This window comes from Homo sapiens, chromosome 14 (genome assembly GCF_000001405.40).
Source record: "Homo sapiens chromosome 14, GRCh38.p14 Primary Assembly".
Classification (NCBI taxonomy): Eukaryota; Metazoa; Chordata; class Mammalia; order Primates; family Hominidae; genus Homo; species Homo sapiens.
In genome coordinates this window covers 69379908-69400181 of record NC_000014.9, presented here as the reverse complement: position 1 = coordinate 69400181, position 20274 = coordinate 69379908, and the positions used below count along the sequence as shown (strand labels likewise).

Genomic DNA, 20274 nt, shown 5'->3' with positions numbered 1-20274 from the left:
CCAAAAAACAAAACAGCTTTCCTCAGAAAGGTGTGTTTGACTTTCTCAAAAGGAAGTTATCATATTGATTTCAGTTCATGTAGAAAAATAACATTCTCCATTTCTTTTTTTTTCTTTTTTGGAGACAGGATCTCACTCTGCTGTCCAGGCTGGAGTGCAGTGGCCCAAACACGGCTCACTGCAGCCTCAACCACTTGGGGTCAAGCGATCCTCCTGCCTCAGCCTCATTTGTAGGGACAAAGTCCCGCCACGTTGCCCAGGCTGGTCTAGAACTCCTGGGCCCAAGCGATCCTTCCACCTCAGCCTCCCAAAGTGCTGAGATTACAGGCGTGAGCCACCGCGCCCAGCCCTCCATTTATTTTCTTGATAACAATCTGGAATCTTGATTCCATGAAACCTCTGAGAATCAAAAGAAATGTTATGGTGCCTCTCTCCAGGTAAATGCACAGAACCTCAAATTTTTGTAAGCAATTCTAGGGGATTCAGAATACTCCAGGATCTTCCGTGGAATATCTATCCACCCCAGGTTAAGAATTCCACTAATGAATATGAGGTTTCTTTCTATTATTAAGTGTCATGTATCTTTTAAAAAAGATAGTCTTTCTTAATGAGACCTTCAGCTTTGAGATTTAACTAGGGAAGCAGCTTCCCTTTGCAACTAAAACTACTATCTCACAGCCATCCTGACAGCTGACAGAAAATTGAGAATTTCTTACCTCTGAGAAATTAACAGCCAAGGGAATGATTCCGGCCACGTAACATCCCACCAACATAGCCAGAGACAGCAGGCTAATGGAGATGAAATCATCCATTCTGCCCTCCTTTATTCACCCACAACCACTAGACAACAAATTTCCAGTGGCTTTAAATGGTGCTTAGGTTCTTTAAACAGGTGTGGTGGTTCCAAGAGAGTGGGCTTTCCAGTTCTTTAGGCCTTCCCACCAGCAGATGTGTTCACGAGGCACCTTCCTCTTGAACGTACCCGGCAACAGACCCTTTTTGCTGATATTAGCACCAGAGAAAGCTTACAGCAATCTAAGGTCCCAGGCTCTGGGTTCTCAGATGCCAGTCATTAGATTCTCGTGGGTTAACAGAGATGGGAAAAGTCAATGGGGAAAATGTGCGAATGATCGATTTCTTCGATTGTCGGATTGAGGGTGGCACAATGTCTTAGGCGGCGGCGGGTAAGTGACTCAAGCGAACCTGTTCGTTCCCTAGGCGCCCCTGTCTCCAAGAGGCGGCCCCGAAGGTGATCCGCCCCCCAGAGCAGGAAACCAGCCCACCAGTCCCAGCAAACTCTCCTCCGAGCCTGGGATGAGGAAAGGAGTCCTGCAGGTCTCTAACGATGGGTCCTAGGGGTTCAGCAGCAAAGTTGACACAAAGCTGTCTCTGCCCTATACCCGGTGCTGCCCATGGTACTGCACTCGACCGGGCCTTGACCCGGAGTCGCCGATACTACAGCTGCCATGGCCGCCAAGTGGCATCTCTTCATTCCATCCACTTCCGGATTGTCTAACCACCCCCTCCTTTACAAAGGCACTTCCGGGTTACAACCGACCTCCGGCCCAGGATACTTACGTTGCCGCCATTTTTGAGTAGGGCTAATGAAAGATGTCTGATGTCACTGTCTATACCGGTGATCACTTGAGCCGTATGTTTAATAACGAAAGTACGGAAGACAGCGTCTTGAAAAAAAATAATTCTTCCTAAAGCTTGGAAACTTTCCCTTACCTTTTTGCCTTTATCGAAGATGGCTGAAACAGAGTCAGTAGCTGCTCTAGCTGCCGGAAGTGACTGTGCCTCTATGATCCAAAAGGCTCTTTTGCGTTGCACTTTCGACGACTTCCGGCGGCTCCTCTCGCGAGGATTGGCTGTTAGCGGCGTTGTAGTTAAGCTCGTGTAACGGCGGCGGTGTCGGCAGCTGCTGTAGCGAAGAGAGTTTGGCGCGATGGTGAGAAAGGCCTCCGCGGCTACCCGAGTCCGAGTCCCCGGCCTCCAGAGCGACCCCAGCCCCATACGTTTTCCCCTCCCCACGAGCCCCATGCAGCGCCGCGTGATGCTCCCCGCCACTCTAGTCGGTGGATTGACCCTTCTTCCCGCCGCAGGGACGCCAGGCCTGACTCTAGGCCTCGGAGCCCCGGTCCGCCCTGCGGTTGCGCGCCCGCCTGCTCGCTCGGGTCCGGCGTGCCTTGGGCCTGAGGATGAACTCTCTCCCGATTGTTACTCGGTAGAGGGAGACGTGGGGGAGGTGTTTTGTTTTTTGAGATAGAGAGTCTCACTCTATCGCCCAGGCTGGAGTGCAGTGGCGGGATCTCAGACCCCTGCAACCTCTGCCTCCTGGGTTGAAGCAATTCTCCTGTCTCAGCCTCCCTAGTAGCTGGGATTACAGGCGCCCGCCACCTCGCTCGGCTAATTTTTTTATTTTAGCAGAGACGGCGTTTCACCATGTTGGCCAGGCTGGTCTCGAACTCCTGACCTCAAGCAATCCACCCGCCTCGGCATCCCAAAGTGCTGGGATTACAGGCGTGAGCCACCGGGCCCTGCCGGATATGGTATTTTTCCCTCCAAATGCTCTAGCCTGCTGTAGGAACAATGGGCCAGGGTTGTCTAACTATTCTCGAAGCTGACAGATCCAGCTATACCCAGCATGTGGGCCAGGAGAGGACGTATTTGCTTTGCAGTGTTTTTTCAGCTTTCGTTTTCCTGTGCTCTGCCTTTTTTTTTTTTTTCCTGTTTTTGAGACCTCTAGGTATTGCGTGTGGCGCGTCCCTCAGCCCTCGATCCTGTACTTATCTGTATTTATATCCTCTTGGGGCTGGAGGCTGAAAAGTAGGCTCAGCTCAGAGACCAGCTCTATTAGAACCCAACCGGGATGATCAGTAAGCTCCAATTCGAAGAAAGTGACCAAAACTGGCTTGAGAGGTGGTATAATCTGTAAAGAATTTGAGCAGGAAAGCATTGCCATTTAAAAATGATAACCACTTGACCACAGTTTTTAAAATGTATCATGTTATGTTCTTAGTGATTTTTAATCCTTGTCTTTGGGCAGTAAGTACTGAAAATAGTAAACTTTGCCCGGTGTTCATTTTAAGACTAGATATAAAAAGCAACATGCTGTATAGCTTTTTCCATTCTTACCCTTTCAAATTAGTCCTTTAATTTGCATTAGAATTGGAATACAATTATTATAGTAGCAGTTGAGATAGCTAGTGTATAGGGCAACCTCTGTTGCAAGAATGCACGTGGTTTCTACAAAATTATTTTTTCTTAAATGACTCGTTGAAACTTTTTGAGTAGCTAGCTTACAAAGACTTCTGTATAACAAATAATCTAATATGATGCTTTCTGTGGCTTTTAAATCGATTTAACAAAGGCTTTGACTGCTCAGGTTATTACAGGTGAGAGTTAATCCTTCGTCTCTTGTCACCAAGTTCCGTTTTTATGTCAAACCCTCTGAAACTTTTAGTCAAAGTGGTTTAGTTCTTGATGGGGAGAGAAGGGTATGATAACCCTTGGTTTTGCATGTCATGTTAAATGTACTATTTTTCCATTGTTTATTCAGAAAGTCTGGGCTTCAGCTATTTCTGTTCCAATTTGATGGTTAAAAATTCTGATCATTTTGTCCAGGCGCGGTGGCTCACGCCTGTAATCCCAGCACTTTGGGAGGCCGAGGCAGGCAGATCACCTGAGGTCGGGAGTTCAAGACCAGTCTGACCAACATGGAGAAACCCCATCTCTACTAAAAAGACAAAATTAGCCGAGCATGGTGGTGCATGCCTGTAATCCCAGCTACTTGGGAGGCTGAAGCAGAAGATTCGCTTGAACCCGGAAAGCAGAGGTTGCGGTGAGCTGAGATCGCGCCTTTGCGCTCCAGCCTGGGCAACAGGAACAAAACTGTCTCCAAAAAAAAATTATGTTATTCCAAAACAGTTTAGGGTTCCTGTTAGGAAATTTTTGTTTTCTGGTTTTTGGCTGAAAAATACTAGTACAGCAGAAGAGAAGGAAAAAGGTGAATAGTTTGATTTGGGACTGGATTTACAGTGGAGTTGCATCATACTTGCATTTAATTAACCTTACACATGTAGCAGAAAATTGGATGGGTCATATTTTCAACAGACCAGTGAATTCTCAGCTGGATGAGATTTTTTGCTCCCCAAGGGACATTTGTAACAAAGAATCAGTCAACCCAAAAGGTAATAGAGCCCACGTTGAGAAAACACTGAGATTGATTTGTTAGTGACTGATCACTAACAAAAACATGTTTCCCAGTGAGCACGAAGTGGAAGACAAGTCTGTCTGCTATGGGCATTATTTCACATTTCTCATAGTGTGATGACCTAACTTTCTGTGTGATTCTAATATGTGATTTTGGTATGAGAAAGCCCAGTAAGGCAAGTCATCTACTAGGTGAATAGTTTAATGGATTTTTAAGGGTAATTCTTATGATATGTTTATATTGCTAATTTATCTACTGCTTTAATGTTAAGTCTAACCCCTGGATAAAATGTGACTTTGCTCTTACGCTGAGGTTGGAAAAAAAGCTTAAGTTGAAACCATGCTTGTGATTATTATACTATTTCCCCTTTTGTTTCCTTTCATCAGCCCATCTGAGTTTTTATTAGTGACTTAAGAGCATTAAAGATGGAAAGTGACCACTGGAGACAGAAAACCTAAGCAGGTTTATAATTTAGTTGGGAAGAAAAGATAGAAAAGGAAAAGGAGGGCAAGGTAGCTTATACTGATTACTTGTAGGCAGTAAGTACGGTAGGACTGGGAGACTTAGGGAGACCGTACAGCAGAGTTGTGAATCCAGCTAGATACTATACTTAGACTAAGACATCAATATTTTTGTGGGAAAAGTATCCTAATGACTTTTTTTTTTCTTTTAAGAGATAGGGCCTCACTCTCCGATGCAATGGTGTGATCATGGCACACTGCAGTCTCAGCCTCCTGGGCTCAAGGAATCCTCCTGCCTTAGACTTCCAAAGTGCTGGGACTACAGGCATGCACCCGGCAAATTTTATTTTTTTGTAGAGACAGGGTCTTGCTATGTTGCCCAGGTTGGTCTCAAGCTTCTGGCCTCAAGTGATTTTCCCCCTCTCAGCCTCCCAGAGGATGAGGATTATAGGCATGGGATGCCATGCCTGGCCTCTCTAATTACATTTTAATAACTAGCAATCATTATTGCATTACAAATGGGGATTTTTTTTTATCATACTATGAATTTCTCAAATAGAAACTTATATTGAAATCATGTTTTCCCCTGCAGTCTCACACCATTTTGCTGGTACAGCCTACCAAGAGGCCAGAAGGCAGAACTTATGCTGACTACGAATCTGTGAATGAATGCATGGAAGGTGAGTTTAACACTAATCAAGGGGTAGAAAAATGTCTCATTTAGGAACTGGGTTTTTCCCCTCCAAATTTTTTTTTTTTAATAGTCCATCCACCCCAGGCCCTGCCTTTATCACTTCCAACCCTCCAAATTTATTGAATTGCTAATTTTAGGAGGGAAAGCAGATATTTAGGATGGACCATAATTATTGAACATTTTATTTATTTGTTTGTTTATTTATGTATTATTTGAGACAGAGTCTCGCTCTATCACCCAGACTGGAGTGCAGTAATGCGATCTCGGCTTACGCAACCTCCGCCCCCCAGGTTCAAGTGATTCTCTTGTGCCTCAGCCTCCCAAGTAGCTGGGACTACAGGCATGGGCCACCACACCCAGATAATTTTTTGTGTATTTAGTAGAGATGGGGTTTCACCATGTTGGCCAGGCTGGTCTCGAGCTCCTGACCTCAAGTAATCCGCCTTGGCCGGTTGAACATTTTAAACATTAATTATGTATATAGTATCCTCCTTGCTACAAGTATTAGGTGTTTTTTTTTTTTAAACTAATGTATATAATGAGTGACTTTCCAGAGCTGCTTGTTGTTTTATAAATATTCTCTTCTTATTTGTCACATGTTATTTTGTTACAGTATGGAAATATTTTACAGGTATCCCTTATATATTCTGGTTAAGCTCAAACACTATAGGCTTGTGTGTCTGTCTGTTTTTAATAGGTTGTTTTAATAGATTTAAGGGATACAAGTGTAGTCTTCTTATATAGATATATGGCATAGTAGTAAAGTCTGGGCCTTTTTTTTTTTTTCCTTAAGACACGGGGTCTTGCTCTGTCACCCAGGCTGGGGTACAGTGGTGATAATGGCTTATTGCAGTCTCAGTTTCCTGGGCTCAAGCAGTCCTCCTGCCTCAGCCTCCCAAATAGCTGGGACTAGAGGCACCTGCCGCCACACCTGGCTAATTTTTTGGTTTTTTTATAGAGATGGGGTCACTGTGTTGCACATGTTGGTCTCAGACTTCTAGCCTCAGGCAGTTCTCCTGCCTTAGCCTCCCAAAGTTCTGGGATTACAAGCATGAGCCACCGCGCCAACCAAGTCTGGGCTTTTATTGTAGCCATCACCTGGTGTACATTGTACGCAGTAGTGATTTTTCATCCCTCACCATTCTCCCACCTTTTGTAGTCTCCAGTGTCAGTTATTCCACTCTGTCTGTCCATGTGCACACATCATTTAGCCTCCACTAATAAATGAGAACATTAAATGTTTGACTTTCTGAGTTACTTCACTTGAGATAATGACCTCCAATTCCATCCATGTTGCTGCAAAGACATGGTTTTATTCTTTTTTTAATAGCTGAGTAGTATTCCATGGGATGTGTGTGCATGCATTCTCATACACCACATTTCCTTTGTCTAGTCATCCATTGATGGATACGTAGTTGATTCCATGACTTTGCTGTTGTGTATAGTACTGCCGTAAACGTATGAGTGCAGGTGTCTTTGTTTCTTTTTGTTTTTTGAGACAGAGTCTCACTCTGTCGCCCAGGCTGGAGTGCAGTGGTGCATCTCAGCTCACTGCAACTTCTGCCTTCTTGGTTCAAATGATTCTCCTTCCTCAGTCTCCTCAGTAGCTGGGACTACAGGTGTGTGCCACCACGCCCAGCTAATTTTTGTATTTTTAGTAAAGACAGGGTTTCGCCACGTTGGCCAGGCTGGTCCCGAACTCCTGACCTCAAGTGATCCACCCACCTCGGCTTCCCAAAGTGCTGGGATTACAGGCGTGAGCCACCACTCCAGGCCATCTACTCTAATTCTTAAAGAAGAACATGGCATTTTTTTCTTCATCTCTTTACAGATCCATTTCTCTGCTGACATTTCTGCCTGCTATTGATGTAGATTTTGTATGCAGGCTCTCTTAGCAAATTGTTACCTAACCTACATTATCATGTTTGGTCTTTGATTCTGCAATACTCTTATTTCTCAGGGCAGTTTCAGGGTTCTAGAAAAATTGAACAGAAACTACAGTTTTTCCGATATTACTCTCTTTCTTCACCCCTACACAATTTCCCCTATTATTAATGAATTTCACTGGTGTGGTGCATTTGTAACAGTGGTGAACCAGTATTCATTACTGATACATTGTCATTAAGTAAAGTTCATAGTTCATACTAGGTTTCATTCTTATGTCCTACATTACTGTGGATTTTCCCAAATGCGCAGTGTCATGTGTCCGCCATTACAGCATCACACAGAATGGTTTCACTGCCCTGCCCTAAACATTTCTTGTGCTCTACCTATTCATCCCCTCCTACCCCACCCTCAACCTCTGGGAACCATTGGTCTTTTTACTGTCTCCATAGTTTTGTCTTTTCCAGAATGTCATATAGTTGGAATCATTATCGTGTGTGGCTTTTTCTTAACTGGCTTTTTTTACTTAGCAATGTGCATTTATTATGTTTCCCCCATGTCTTTTCATGACTTGGTAGCTCTTTTTCTAAAAATTAAAAGTGGTGATTTATTTCCCATTTAAAAAACTAAAACAAAAAAATGTTAAAATAATTATTAAATAAGTTCTCACATGATGTGGTTGCCAAATGGTAATTTTATTATTCTTTTTTTTTTTTTCTTGTAGTAAATATTCCCCTGTAGATCAGAGCATTTTTTTCCTCCCCCCTTTTTTTTAAGAGCAGTTAAAGACTTTATTTAAGACCATGTTTTTAGAGCAGTTTTAGGCTTATGGGAAAATTGTTTGGAAAGTACAGAGCTCCAGCATACGCCTTCTTTCCTCCCCTTCTTAGTTTCCCCTATTAGTGCATCTTCTATTAGTCTGATTACACTTGTTGGGATTGGTGAATTAATATTCATAGATTATTATTAACTAAAGTTCGCAGTTTATGTTAGGGTTTACTGTATGTGTTGAACATTCTGTGGGTTTTGACATGTATAATTACGTGTATCTACCTTTACTGTATCATACAGAGTAGTTTCACTACCAGAAATCCCCATTGCTCCACCTATACCTCCTTCCCTGCCACCACCCCCAAACCCCTGATCTTTTTACCATATCTGTAGTTTTGCCTTTTCTGGAATGTCATGTTAGAGTTACGGAGTATGAAGCCTTTTCAGACTGGCTGCTTTAACCTAGCAATATGCTTTTTTTTTTTTTTTTTTTTTTTTTTTGGCGTGCGAGACAGAGTCTTACTCTGTCACCCAGGCTGGAATGCTGTGACGTAATCTCAGCTCACTGCAACCTCTGCCTCCCTGGTTCAAGCGATTCTCCTGCCTCAGCCACCCAAGTAGCTGGGATTACAGGCCTGCGCCACCATGCCTGGCTACCTTTTTTTGTATTTTTAGTAGAGACGGGTTTTACTGTGTAGGCCAGGCTGGTCTCAAACTCCTGACCTCAAGTGATCCGTCCACCTCAGCCTCCCAAAGTCTGGGGATCACAGGCATGAGCCCCCATGCCTGGCCAACCTAGCAGTATGCTTTTATGGTTCTTACTTTTTGTGTGTGTGGCTGCATAGCTGATTTCTTTTTATTGCTGAATAATATTCCCTTGAATGAATGTACCATGGTTTGGTTATCCATTCACTTATTGAAGAGCATCTTGGTTGCTTCTATTTTTTGGCAATTATGAATAAAGCTGCTATAAACATTTCTGTGTAGGCTTTTGTGTGGACCTAAGTTTTCAGCTCATTTGCGTAAATACGTAGGAGAGTGATTGCTAGATTATGTGGTACAAGTATGTTTAGCTTTGTCAGAAACTGCCAAACTGTCTTCAGACGTGGCAGGACCATTTTGCATTCCCACCAGCGTGAATGAGTTTCTGTTCCACATCCTTACCAGCATTTGGTGTTGTCACTGATTTAGATTTTAGCCATTCTAAGGTATCTTATTGTTTTAATTTGCAATTCCCTAATGACATACAATGTCATCTTTTCATGTGCTTATTTGCCATCTGCATCTTTATTGAGGTATCCAGATCTTCTGCCTATTTTTCATTGAGTGATTATGGTTAAGTTTTAGGAGTTCTTTGTATATTTTTAGACATTAGTCCTTTATCAGATAGATGTTTTATAAAGGTTTTCTCCCCGTTTGTGGTGTCTTCTCACTTTCTTAATAGTGTCTTTTGGAGCACAAAAGTTTTTTATTTTTATAAACTTTAACTTGCATATTTTTGTGTTTTTGGTGTCATATCTAAGAAACCATTGGTTTATCCAAGGTCACAAATATTAATGCCTTTATTTTTTTCTATGGGTCTTATAGTTTGGGCTCCTACTTTTAAGTCTCTGGTCTGTTGTAGAGATGTGTCCAACTTCATTCTTTCACATGTGACTATCCTGTTGTCCTAGCATCATTTGTTGAAAATACTGTTCTTTGTTGAATTGTTTTGGCATGCTTGTCAAAAAGCAGTTGACCATAAATGTGAGGGTTTGTTTCTGGACTCTCATTTCTGTTCCATTGATGTAGATACCTATCCTGATGCCAATACCATATTGTCTTGATTGGAGTAGTTTCATAGTAAGTTTTGAAATCAGGAAGTTTGAATCCTCCAGTGTTTTTCTTTTTCAAGATTATTTTGGCTGTCTTGGGTCTCCTGCATTTCTGTGTCAAACTTAGGATTAGCTTGTTGGTTTCTGCAAAAACAGCTTGGATTTTTATGGGAATTGCGTTGAATCCGTAGATCATCTGAGGGAGTATTGGCATCAGGTCTTCCAACTCATGAACATGGGATGTCTTTCCATTTATTAAGCATGGTGTGGTGGCTTTACTTTCTGCATGGCGTGGTGGCTCACACCTGTTATCCCAGGACTTTGGGAGGCCAAGGTGAGCGGATTGCTTGAGCCCAGGAGTTTGAGACTAGCCTGGGCAACATGATGAAACCCCTGCTCTCCAAAAAGTACAAAAATTAGCTGGGCATGGTGGCGCGTACCTGTAGTCACAGATCCTTGGGAGGATCACTTGAACTTAAGAGGTCAAGGCTGCAGTGAGCTGCAATTGGGCCACTGCACTCCAGCCTGGGCAACAGAATGAGACTGTGTCTCAAGGGAAAGAAAAGAGTCCTTCCATGACATTTTATAGTGTAGGGTGTACACGTTTTGTACTACTTTTGTTTCGTTTATTTCTAAGAATTTTATTCTTTTTTACGCTGTTATAAATGGAGTTTTCTTAATTTTATTTTCAGACTTGTTGTTAAGGCATAGAAATAAAATTTATTTTCATATACCAATCCTATATCCTGCAACCTTGCTGTACTCATTTCTTAGTTCTAATAGATTTTTATTGTTTCCTTAGGATTTTATATCTGTAAGATAATGTCATCTGCAAATAATGATGGCTGTACTTCTTCCTTTCCAATCTGAAGGCCTGTTATCTCTTTTTCTTGCCTAATTGCCCTGGCTAGAACTTCTAGTACAATGTTGAATACAAGTAGCGCAATAAATATTCTGGTATTCTTCCTAATCTTAACAGAAAAGCATCCCGTCTTTAACCATTAAGTATAATGGAGGCCGGGCATGGTGGCTTATGCCTGTAATCCCAGCACTTTGGGAGGCCGACGCGGGTGGATCACCTGAGGTCAAGAGTTCAAGACCAGCCTGGCCAAAATCGCAAAACCCCGTCTCTACTAAAAATACAAAAATTAGCCGGGTGTGGTGGCACACACCTGTAATCTCAGCTACTCGGGAGGCTGAGCCTGAGGCAAGAGAATCGCTTGAATCCGGGAGGCAGAGGTTGCAGTGAGCCGAGATTGTGCCAATGCACTCCAGCCTGGGCAACAAGAGCAAAAAATCCATCTCAAAAAAAAAAAGTATAACTGTGGGTCAATGCCTTTTTAACATATACGAATTTATTTTCCTAGTTTTTATTTTCTTTCCATTCATTAACTCATGGGTGATATTCTGTGATCACAATGTAGTATGCCAGTAGCAATAAAAAGCCCTAAGATAGTTGTTTAATAGTTCTGTGGTTGAATAGTGTTTTTATTAGGAAATTTATAAAGTTAATTTGGAGCTAATAAAAGGCTTATGTATACAGTATAGGACATGTTTTTTCTAGATAACTAGCATTTATGTCACTTAGCCATTCATCATAGTAGTCTTAAAATAGTTGACAGCGGGAATAGACTGAAAAGGTGTATTCTCCTTTTGTGGGAATAAGAAAGGAGAGTATCAGGCCGGGCACGATGGCTCAAGCCTGTAATCCCAGCCCTTTGGGAGGCTGAGGCACGCTGATCACCTGAGGTCAGGAGTTCAAGATCAGCCTGGCCAACATGGTAAAACCCCGTCTCTACTAAAAATACAAAAAGTTAGCTGGGTGTGGTGGCGGGTGCCTGTAATCCCAGCTACTTGGGGGGCTGAGGCAGGAGAATCGCTTGAACCCAGGAGGCGGAGGTTGCAGTGAGCCAAGATCTCATCATTGCATTCCAGCCTGGGCAACAAGAGCAAAACTCCATCTCAAAGAAAAAAAAAAGGAGAGTATTATTGAATAAAAACTAAATAGATAATATACTCTATAGCTAATTATAATTAGTAATGTGGGCTTGCTATTAATGATTTTGCTCATTATCTTTTTTATTATATTTAAGTACTTATATCCTTGTTCATGTGCTAATGCTTTATGTGTATTATTTCAAATAAACCTCACAATTCTATGAAGAGGCACTCTTAACTCTGTTTGACAGGTGTGGTTCAGGGAATGGCGTCGTTTGTCCTCGGTTTGACAGGGGCAGAGTTGGAACTAAAGTCTGTCTGAATCCATAGTCTAGGATTTTTTGTTTGTTTGTTTGTTTGAGACAGAGTCTTGCTCTGTCACCCGGGCTGGAGTGCAGTGGCCGATCTCGGCTCACTGCAATCTCCACCTCCCAGGTTCATGCCATTCTCCTGCTTCAGCCTCCCGAGTAGCTGGGGCTACAGGTGCCTGCCACCATGCCTGGCTAATTTTTTGTATTTTTTTAGTAGAGACAGGGTTTCACTGTGTTGGCCAGGATGGTCTCTATCTCCTGACCTCGTGATCCGCCCGCCTTGGCCTCCCAAAGTGCTGGGATTACAGGCGTGAGCCACTGTGCCCGGCCTAGTCTAGGATCTTAAATATACATTAGGATAATCTCTTTCCTTGTTGCCAATTTTTTTTTTTTTTTTGCTCTGTGGCTTTAGGAAGAATTACTGAAAAACCTGTTAAGACCCACAGTGTTATTTGTTTGAGCCATCAGATGGCAAGTCTTTAAAGCCCCTTAGCTCCAGTGGTTTGAAGTAATCATTTTATTATTAAGACACAAAATAGTTACATCAACATTGTGGTGAATTTCTCAGCTGCCCAGACTGGAGTGCAGTGATGCAATCACGGCTCACTGCAGCCAAGTGATTCTCCCACCTCAGCTTCCCAGGTAGCTGGGACCACAAGCACACGCCATCACGCCTGGCTAATTTTTTAATTTTTGTAGAGATGAGGTCTCCCTGTGTTGCCCAGGCAGGCTGGTCTTAAACTGTGGGGCTCAAGTGATGCTCCTGCCTCAGCCTCCCAAAGAGCTGGGATTACAGGCGTAAGCCACTACACCTGACCTGGTGAATTTATAAAATAAAAAAGTATTTGCTAGTGGCAATAATCAAAAGCCATCAATCTATCATCTTTTCCCCAGCCCAACTTTATTAAAGTAAATATGATATCAACATATAGCACAGCTCATAAGCACTGCTCATATCTAGAAGTGTATGCGATTGTAAGATTTTGCTTTTTTTCCTATCCTTTCTTAGGTGTTTGTAAAATGTATGAAGAACATCTGAAAAGAATGAATCCCAACAGTCCCTCTATCACATATGACATCAGTCAGTTGTTTGATTTCATCGATGATCTGGCAGACCTCAGCTGCCTGGTGTAAGTATTAGCCAACATGTCTTTTATCTTGTATTTTCTATTGCTTTTCTGTCTGTTTGAGGTGATTTATGGTATTGGGAGCTAATTATGTGCCTGATACTGATCTTTGCATTTGCATAGTGTATAGTAATTAATATTTCTCTTACAGAAATAAGAGATTGGCAACATAAAGCCAAAGGCACAGAAAAAAATAACTTTGCTAATTGATATAGTTAGTATCCAGAAAGGATCCTAATTCAGAAGTTCCATGTGCCTCTTCTTTGTTCCTTATACCTAATTTTTTTTTTCCTTTACAGTCTTTGTCTTAAAGCCATTGGTTTTGGATTAAAACTAAGATTATCTTTTTTTCATGACATTTCAAAAACTTAAATATGCGTATAGCTGAAATTTAATTTCAATCCTACGCTGTGTAAGTACGTATATTTTGGTATGTTAGAGTGAGATTTTTTAACATATTTGTTATAGTTTGTATTGATAATCTGCTTCTGACAATTACTAACAAGGAGCATAAAGTGTTACTGTAGACTTACCTAATCTTTTTTACATTAGCGAACAGAAATTGAGTGTAAATACAGCTCATTTAACCGAGGAAAATGGAAGCACCTTATGATACAATACTCAATCATCAGATACTTGAATATTTATTACATGTCAGGTGCTGTGCTAGAAGTTGAAAGAGCAGTGATGAGAAATATACAAGTCTTACTCATAGGCACTTCCTGGATCACCACTGGAGCCAATCATGGAATGTGGCTGCACCATGCTGTCTCCCCAAAAGTTCCAAAACACGCATTTCCTTGGGATGTTTGAGTTTTGTTTTCTGTACCTCTTCATTGTGTTCCGGTTGTAGCCATTTCACTTTGATCACTCAGAACATTCAAATGAATGTTGCATGGTACTTTAAGCCATTCAGACATCTATAGGAAAAACATACCAGACAGAGGGGATGAGGGACAGCTAGTGTAGAAGTCCTGAAGTAGGAGTGCCTAGCATGTTTGAAGTCATTAAGGAAGCCTTTGAGGCTGCAGAGGAATGAGTGAAGGAGAGTGTCTTAGGAGATTGGAGGAGCAGGGAGCAATGATATCCTGGAAGCCAAATGCAGAAGTGTGTCATATCATTGATAGGACAGATATGTGAGGACTGAGAATTTAATTGACCCCTGGATTTGACACTGTGGAAGTCTTTGGTGACTTCCAGAACGGTTGTGGTAGAGTGCCAGGAGTAAAATGCTTACAGATTTCAGTGTATGGAAGGGAATGAAAAGAGAGGATTTATAGGTGGCCATTACAGGCTTGCTTTTTTTTTTTTTTTCCTTTTTTTTATTTAAAGAATTTTGCTTGAAAGAACAGAAAAATGGGGTTGTAGCTGGAGAAAGAAATTGCTTTTTTTTAAGTGGGAAAAGTAATGGTAAGTTTGCAGGCTGATGGGATGATGTACCAGAGAAGGAGAAACTGATAGCTCAAATTGGCTCTTGGACAGTTCAATCATAAAAAAGGGAGGACAGGCAAATTTGGGAGCTGGGGGGAATTATCTTCTGTATGCTTCAGTTATCTCAGAAAGATAAGGAGCAAGGACATCATTTGAAACAGGTGTTACAGGTTTGTGGAAAAGTAAGAAATAAGCTAGGAAGGTGAAAGAATTAGGGAACTGCAATTAATTCAGGGATGCATTAAGTGTCCTCCAAAGTACCTATCTGATAGTGATTTAAAGTGAAATCAGTCATTGTGATCATGGGATTTTTTTCCTAGTCTCTCTCACCTGGATGGTTACAGGTGAGGAGTAGGTAGAGAGTAAAGATTTTGCTAAAGGTTGAGGGCATATATGAGGACAACAGCAACGACTGAATGACCATGAGCTTTAATTGGGGGTGTAGGAGGAGGTGCTGGAAACAGAGGTAGATCAGTTCATTGTAGGTCCCACTGGATCAAGGATTGCTCACATTAGAGTGTTAGGAAGTGGTGATCAGAGAATGACATGCTTGAAATTAGGAAATTGAAGTAGTTGGAAATGACAAGGTCTAGGGATCTGGCCAAGAGAGGGTAGGAGATGAGATCATTAGAGGAAAAGACTTCATGGAATTGGGAGGCCTAAGTGTTGACAGAATCATCCACTGGATATGAAATTACCAATAATGTGTATATTAATTGATAGAATTTAAGAAGAAGTTGCTTTGTGTTTGTTCACTGCTGCATCTCTGGTACATAATTAGTGCTGAGTAAATATTGGTTATATAAATGCACGTCACTTGTGTTGTTATTTGAGGAATAGCTTTCTAAAATTATTGATAATTTTCTATTTCCCTTATTTATATTACAGAGCTATATTCTGCATTGATTAAAAATTAATGGTTGTCTTTATGGTTTTATAAAAGAACCTTACTGAAACATTCAGGATGTAATCCTGACGCTTTTGGGATGTCATACTTACTCCCAGTAAGTGGGAAGTAAACTTGAAGCAAAGGATCATGTTTTACTTGTCTTGGGAGGCTGTGGTTAAGAGCTAGCTGGAGTGGCAGAATTAGACATAGCTGGGTTTGAATCCTGGGTCTACCATTTGCTAGCTCCCTTTGACAAGGCAGCTTTGTATTGCTAAACTTTAGTTTGCTAATTTGTAAAATTCAGACAAATCTAGTTCATAAGACTCCTTGTGAGGATCAAGTGCTTGCTGAGCACAGCATTATTAGATATGCAGCAACTCCCTTTTCAACTAGATTGAAGAAGTCAGGATAGAGTTTTATTTTTAATTACAAGCATGTTCTTAAATTTGCCAGGAGTAGAATGATATGAATTTTAATGTCTACGTGTGAGATAAATTATAAATTTCAAGGGAGATTTAAAAGGTGTTGAGGTTTTTTCAACAATATGAAAATTGAGCAGAGTAAAACAGTTACAAGTGACATGTTAATGATATACAAGTATGTCATTAATGACATAACATAACTTTTCTAACTTTGTACTAGACTTTATAAAAAAAAAATTTTAGAGACAGGGTCTTGCTATATTACCCAGGCTGGTCTCAAACTCCTGGGCTCAAGTGATCCTCCTTCCTCAGCCTCCCCAAGGAGTGATATTACAGGCATGAGCAACTGTGCCCGGCTGCATTAGACTTTAAAATGTAAACTAGAAACCATATCTAGCATACTAAACTGATTTTTAATACAATATTTGCTATATTAAAGCAACATAGGGGGAAAGCTTTAATTATTACCTAGATAATTCTTCCCACCTACAGTATTTCCAGAAATATAGAAGAGAGGTTAATGATAATTTATGGTTTTTTAGTAGTTTCAGAGTGTTAAAAACCGTAAATTATCATAGCTTGAAAACCTGTAACTATTTGTTTGTTTCTAATGTTGAAAATTTTTTGGCCTCTGAAAAACTTTCAGAATCAAATTTAGGATTTAAAACTATTTTCCCCAGGTGACTTTGGTTATGTCCTTTTTGTTCTTTGAATATTCAGGAGAAATAAGGTATTGTTTCCAAAGAGGTAACCCACTGCCACAGCACATCCTGTGATTTGGGCCGTTACTCCTCAGACCAGAGACTGGGTCCGTTTTTGGTTTGTAGATGGTTGTGTGCTCATAGTTTCTATTAAATTTACATGGCAGTGACCTAGGACTTTTTTAAATTAATTCTTTTTAAACAGCGTAGGTGGAAATGGAATAAATAAGATTCTACTTTGTAACATGACTAAACCCAGAGCAAACTGACCATGCATTAATAATAAAATGTAGGCATGAAAATTTGTATTTCGTATACTTAAAGTCAGAGTCAGATTTTTCCAGTTTTCTGATCTGTATGTTTTTTAAATAAGCTTTTTGTAAGATGAAAATAATGCCCTTTTGATTATGCAGTATTTTCTTGTTTGCTTAGAGACATAAAGAACATTTAAACTGTCAGTTATTATAATGACAAGAGGTATTCCTGATCAGTAAGAGAAGTTATCACTGAAGACATTTCTGATTTCACTGCCCAGACCCACAGCTTCTGTTCTTATATAAACCTACATTCATTGACCATAACAATAGGTTAAAAGATTCATCTGTGCCAATGACTAGGCATTTTATTAAAGTATTTAACATTTAATTGTCTCATTTTCAAGTGCCAGTTAACAGCCATCGACACACAGCTTTCCATAAAGAAGGCATTATTGCTTTTTTTTTTTTTTTCTTTTGGAGATAGAGTCTTGCACTGTCGCCAGGGTTCAAGCGATTCTCCTGCCTCAGCCTCCCGAGTAGCTGGGACTACAGGTGCGCGCCACCACGCCCAGCTAATTTTTGTATTTTTTTTTTTTGGTGGAGACGGGGTTTCACAATGTTGGTCAGGATGGTCTTGATCTCTTGACATTGTGGCCCGCCTGCCTCAGCCTCCCAAAGTGCTGGGATTACAGGCATGAGCCACTGGCACCTGGCCTACTATTTGATGAGTTGGAAAATTGCATGCAAGTTGATGGATTCCTTAATGTTCACAAACCAGAGTGATTTTTGTTGGGGGGAATGGTATAAACAAAGCCTGTCCCACCCAGATATGATAATTGTGAGAAATTTTGTTCCTTTTTAAGTTATTTTCCAGTGTTAATATAAATGTTATAGTCTCTTCTGCTACATTTTGCAGTAGACTAGCTTAGAGCTTATTTAATTAGGAAGCATGGACAAAGAGTTTTCAGAAAAAATTAAATTTTAGAATTTTTAAATTTGGTTAAGCATTTTTAAAAATGGGAATCTTGTACATTTTTAATAAACCAGATTGTGACCTTACTGTTCAGAGGAAGAATATGATGTTAATTGTATAAAGCATTCCTACTTTGGAATTTATTTCCCTTGCCAAAAATTGTAGTTTAGGTTTCTAACTTAGTGATTAACAGTGAGGACTCTGGAGTCAGGAGTATTTAAAATCTATCTCCAGTCCAGCATTACCTAGCTAATAACTTGCTTCACTTTTTAAAGCCTTGGTTTCTCATTTATGAAAAAGGAGGCCAGGTGCGGTGGCTCACGCCTGTAATCCCAGCACTTTGGGCGGCCGAGGCGGCTGGATCACTTGAGGGTCAGGAGTTCAAGACCAACCTGGCCAACATAGTGAAACCTGGTCTCTACTAAAAATACAAAACATTAGCTGGACGTGGTGGCACACACCTATAGTCTTACCTACTCAGGAGGCTGAGGCAGGAGAATCATGTGAACCCAGGTGGCAGAGGTTGCAGTGAGCCAAGATGGCACCACTGCACTCCAGACTGAGTTACAGAGTGAGATTCTGTCTCAAAAAAAAGCAGGGGTCGGTGGTGGGGGTGGTGGGAAGTGAGGATAATTGTACCTACTCACAGGGTTGTAAAAATGAGTTAATTCAGATAAGAATTTAAAGCGACACCCAGTACTCTGTGACATCTTACTAGATACTACTCACAGTCCCATTGGAGTTTTACTGCTAATGCTAGTCTGTGTACTCCTTTTCGTTCTGATTAGAGATATTTTGGAGCTTACTGTATCTTCTGATAATTCTTCTCCATAGGCCTCTAGCATTATTTATTTTAAAAAGCAAATCCTAAAATATAGGTTTAAGATTTCCTTAATACTTTACAGGGGGAAGGAAATTAGCAAGAAATCTTTGTTGCCAGTACATGTTTTTTAAAGGTTTTTTAGTTAATTCAGAATAAACATTGCAAATCTAAAGTTTGTTCTAGTATTGTTGTTTTTGTTTTTTTGAGATGGAGTCTCACTCACAGGAGTGCAGTGGCACGATCTCGGCTCACTGCATCCTCCACCGGTTGAAGCAATTCCCTTGCCTCAGCCTCCTGAGTAGGCAGGACTACAGGCGTGCACCACCATGCCCAGCTAATTTTTGTATTTTAGTAGAGACAAGGTTTCACCATGTTGGCCAGGCTAGTCTTGAACTCCTGACCTCAAGTGATCACCCGCCTCAGCCTCCCAAAGTGCTGGGATTACAGGCATGAGCCACTGCACCCAGCCAATTTTTTTGTTGTTGTTTTTTAATCACTAAAGGAACCATAAAAATAGAAACTATGTAGGAGGAAGAACACATGGTTTCTGGTCATACTCTGTCAAGAAGTAGATATGTAACATATTGGGCATTTAACTTAAAAATTCTAAGTCATGTTTTCTTTTTCCACTATAAGATTGTACTAGGTGATATAAAGTTCATGTCACTTAAAATTCAACGACTGTGTAAGTAGCTCTTTCAGCTTTTCATTAAGTTCATTTTTGGAAATGTGCACATCTATGCCATCATTGGGCAGTTATAATTTGGGGATTTAAACACCTGGCAGTGATTGACCACTGTGACTTTGCTTATTCCCTTTCTCTCCTCAGTTACCGAGCTGATACCCAGACATACCAGCCTTATAACAAAGACTGGATTAAAGAGAAGATCTACGTGCTCCTTCGTCGGCAGGCCCAACAGGCTGGGAAATAATTGTGTTGGAAGCACTGGGGGGGTTGGGGTGGGCTTGGAACACAGGTGTGTACAGCGTGCTGTAGTGGAAGTTTTGTATCATAGTAATCCTGTTTCCACTTTGTTATACTCTAGCCAAGATTGACTGTATTAGATGAAATGTGAGGATCTTGTTCAATCGGAAACCCCCGTTACCTCCTCTTTTTCTTTCTCTTTCTTTTTTTTTTTTTACTTAAACATTTTTATGATGATTTAGATGGAAGTTGTTCTTCGTCACTTAATGTTGGTTCCAGTCCTTCAACTGTTCATATCTACTTTATAACATTCACATACTAACCCTTCTTCAAGATGGGGTGGGGGGTGGAAATGCAGTTTAGCCATGTCCTCAAGATAAAGTCTTGGTAAAAATAAATAAATGTCCTTTAGTTATATTTTCTCCCTGAGTGCTTTTTTTTTTTTTGTCTTTGAACATTGAATTTTCTTGCAAAGCATTTTTTCATTTTAAGTTTAAAAACCAATAGCTGCTACACAAAGAATTTGAAGAAAGTTTAAGTAGTGCGCAACACATTTTGCTGTGAAGCTAATAACACTTTTACCTCACTTTTCCAGCATAATTAAATGAATCTTAATTATAGCTCCAAGGTTTGTACC

The 20274-nt window shown here is 40.8% G+C and overlaps 3 protein-coding genes across 11 annotated transcripts in view, besides 5 other annotated features; 1 reads left to right on the top strand and 2 right to left on the bottom strand.

Moving 5' to 3' along the window:
• SLC39A9 (solute carrier family 39 member 9) overlaps positions 1–1798 on the bottom strand; it is a 64007-nt gene extending 62209 nt beyond the window's left edge. For 4 of the 8 annotated variants that reach the window (NM_018375.5, NM_001252150.2, NM_001252148.2 and 1 more), the window contains exon 1: positions 717–1490. In NM_018375.5, the coding sequence (NP_060845.2) occupies positions 717–812 (96 nt within the window). In that variant the 5' untranslated portion in view covers positions 813–1490. Of the gene's footprint in view, positions 1–716; positions 1491–1578 lie in introns of those variants that run through there. The other 4 variants (NM_001252152.2, XM_024449648.2, XM_047431550.1 and 1 more) reach the window with 2 other exon arrangements.
• Positions 466–1665: an enhancer, noted in NCBI's record as "BRD4-independent group 4 enhancer chr14:69865234-69866433 (GRCh37/hg19 assembly coordinates)". NCBI's record gives its function as "activates an origin of replication core promoter dependent on BRD2, P300/CBP, MED14 and CDK7 cofactors, and independent of BRD4, by STARR-seq in HCT116 cells {active_cell/tissue: HCT116}" and the evidence as "EXISTENCE:reporter gene assay evidence [ECO:0000049][PMID:35650434]".
• Positions 1198–1537: an enhancer, noted in NCBI's record as "active region_8637". NCBI's record gives its function as "activates an Ori minimal core promoter by ATAC-STARR-seq in GM12878 lymphoblastoid cells {active_cell/tissue: GM12878}" and the evidence as "EXISTENCE:reporter gene assay evidence [ECO:0000049][PMID:35858748]".
• Positions 1634–1874: a silencer, noted in NCBI's record as "fragment chr14:69865025-69865265 (GRCh37/hg19 assembly coordinates)". NCBI's record gives its function as "represses an EF-1alpha promoter that drives an FKBP-Casp9 reporter gene in an ReSE screen in phorbol 12-myristate 13-acetate-treated (for megakaryocytic differentiation) K562 erythroleukemia cells {active_cell/tissue: K562(+PMA)}" and the evidence as "EXISTENCE:reporter gene assay evidence [ECO:0000049][PMID:32094911]".
• Positions 1867–2374: an enhancer, noted in NCBI's record as "NANOG-H3K27ac-H3K4me1 hESC enhancer chr14:69864525-69865032 (GRCh37/hg19 assembly coordinates)". NCBI's record gives its function as "activates a minimal SCP1, AML or CMV promoter by ChIP-STARR-seq in primed H9 embryonic stem cells {active_cell/tissue: H9 hESC(primed)}" and the evidence as "EXISTENCE:reporter gene assay evidence [ECO:0000049][PMID:30033119]".
• Positions 1883–20054, top strand: ERH (ERH mRNA splicing and mitosis factor). Its single transcript, NM_004450.3, has 4 exons — positions 1883–1951; positions 5270–5357; positions 13099–13219; positions 19542–20054. The coding sequence occupies exons 1-4, from the start codon at positions 1949–1951 to the stop codon at positions 19642–19644; spliced, it is 315 nt and encodes a 104-aa protein (NP_004441.1). The 5' UTR covers positions 1883–1948; the 3' UTR covers positions 19645–20054.
• Positions 2375–2883: an enhancer, noted in NCBI's record as "NANOG-H3K27ac-H3K4me1 hESC enhancer chr14:69864016-69864524 (GRCh37/hg19 assembly coordinates)". NCBI's record gives its function as "activates a minimal SCP1, AML or CMV promoter by ChIP-STARR-seq in naive H9 embryonic stem cells {active_cell/tissue: H9 hESC(naive)}" and the evidence as "EXISTENCE:reporter gene assay evidence [ECO:0000049][PMID:30033119]".
• The window catches only part of GALNT16 (polypeptide N-acetylgalactosaminyltransferase 16), a 126707-nt gene continuing 120277 nt past the window's right edge, over positions 13845–20274 (bottom strand). For both annotated transcript variants that reach the window (XR_007064036.1, XM_047431618.1), the window contains one exon: positions 13845–14136. The gene's annotated coding sequence lies outside the window, so the exon portion shown is untranslated. The remainder of the gene's footprint in view (positions 14137–20274) is intronic.

What these genes read in the sequence shown, in the direction of transcription:
- ERH (NM_004450.3), top strand. An exon ending in TGTGAATGAATGCATGGAAG is followed by an intron (nt 5,358 to 13,098) that starts GTGAGTTTAACA and finishes ATCCTTTCTTAG; the next exon opens with GTGTTTGTAAAATGTATGAA. An exon ending in GCAGACCTCAGCTGCCTGGT is followed by an intron (nt 13,220 to 19,541) that starts GTAAGTATTAGC and finishes TTCTCTCCTCAG; the next exon opens with TTACCGAGCTGATACCCAGA.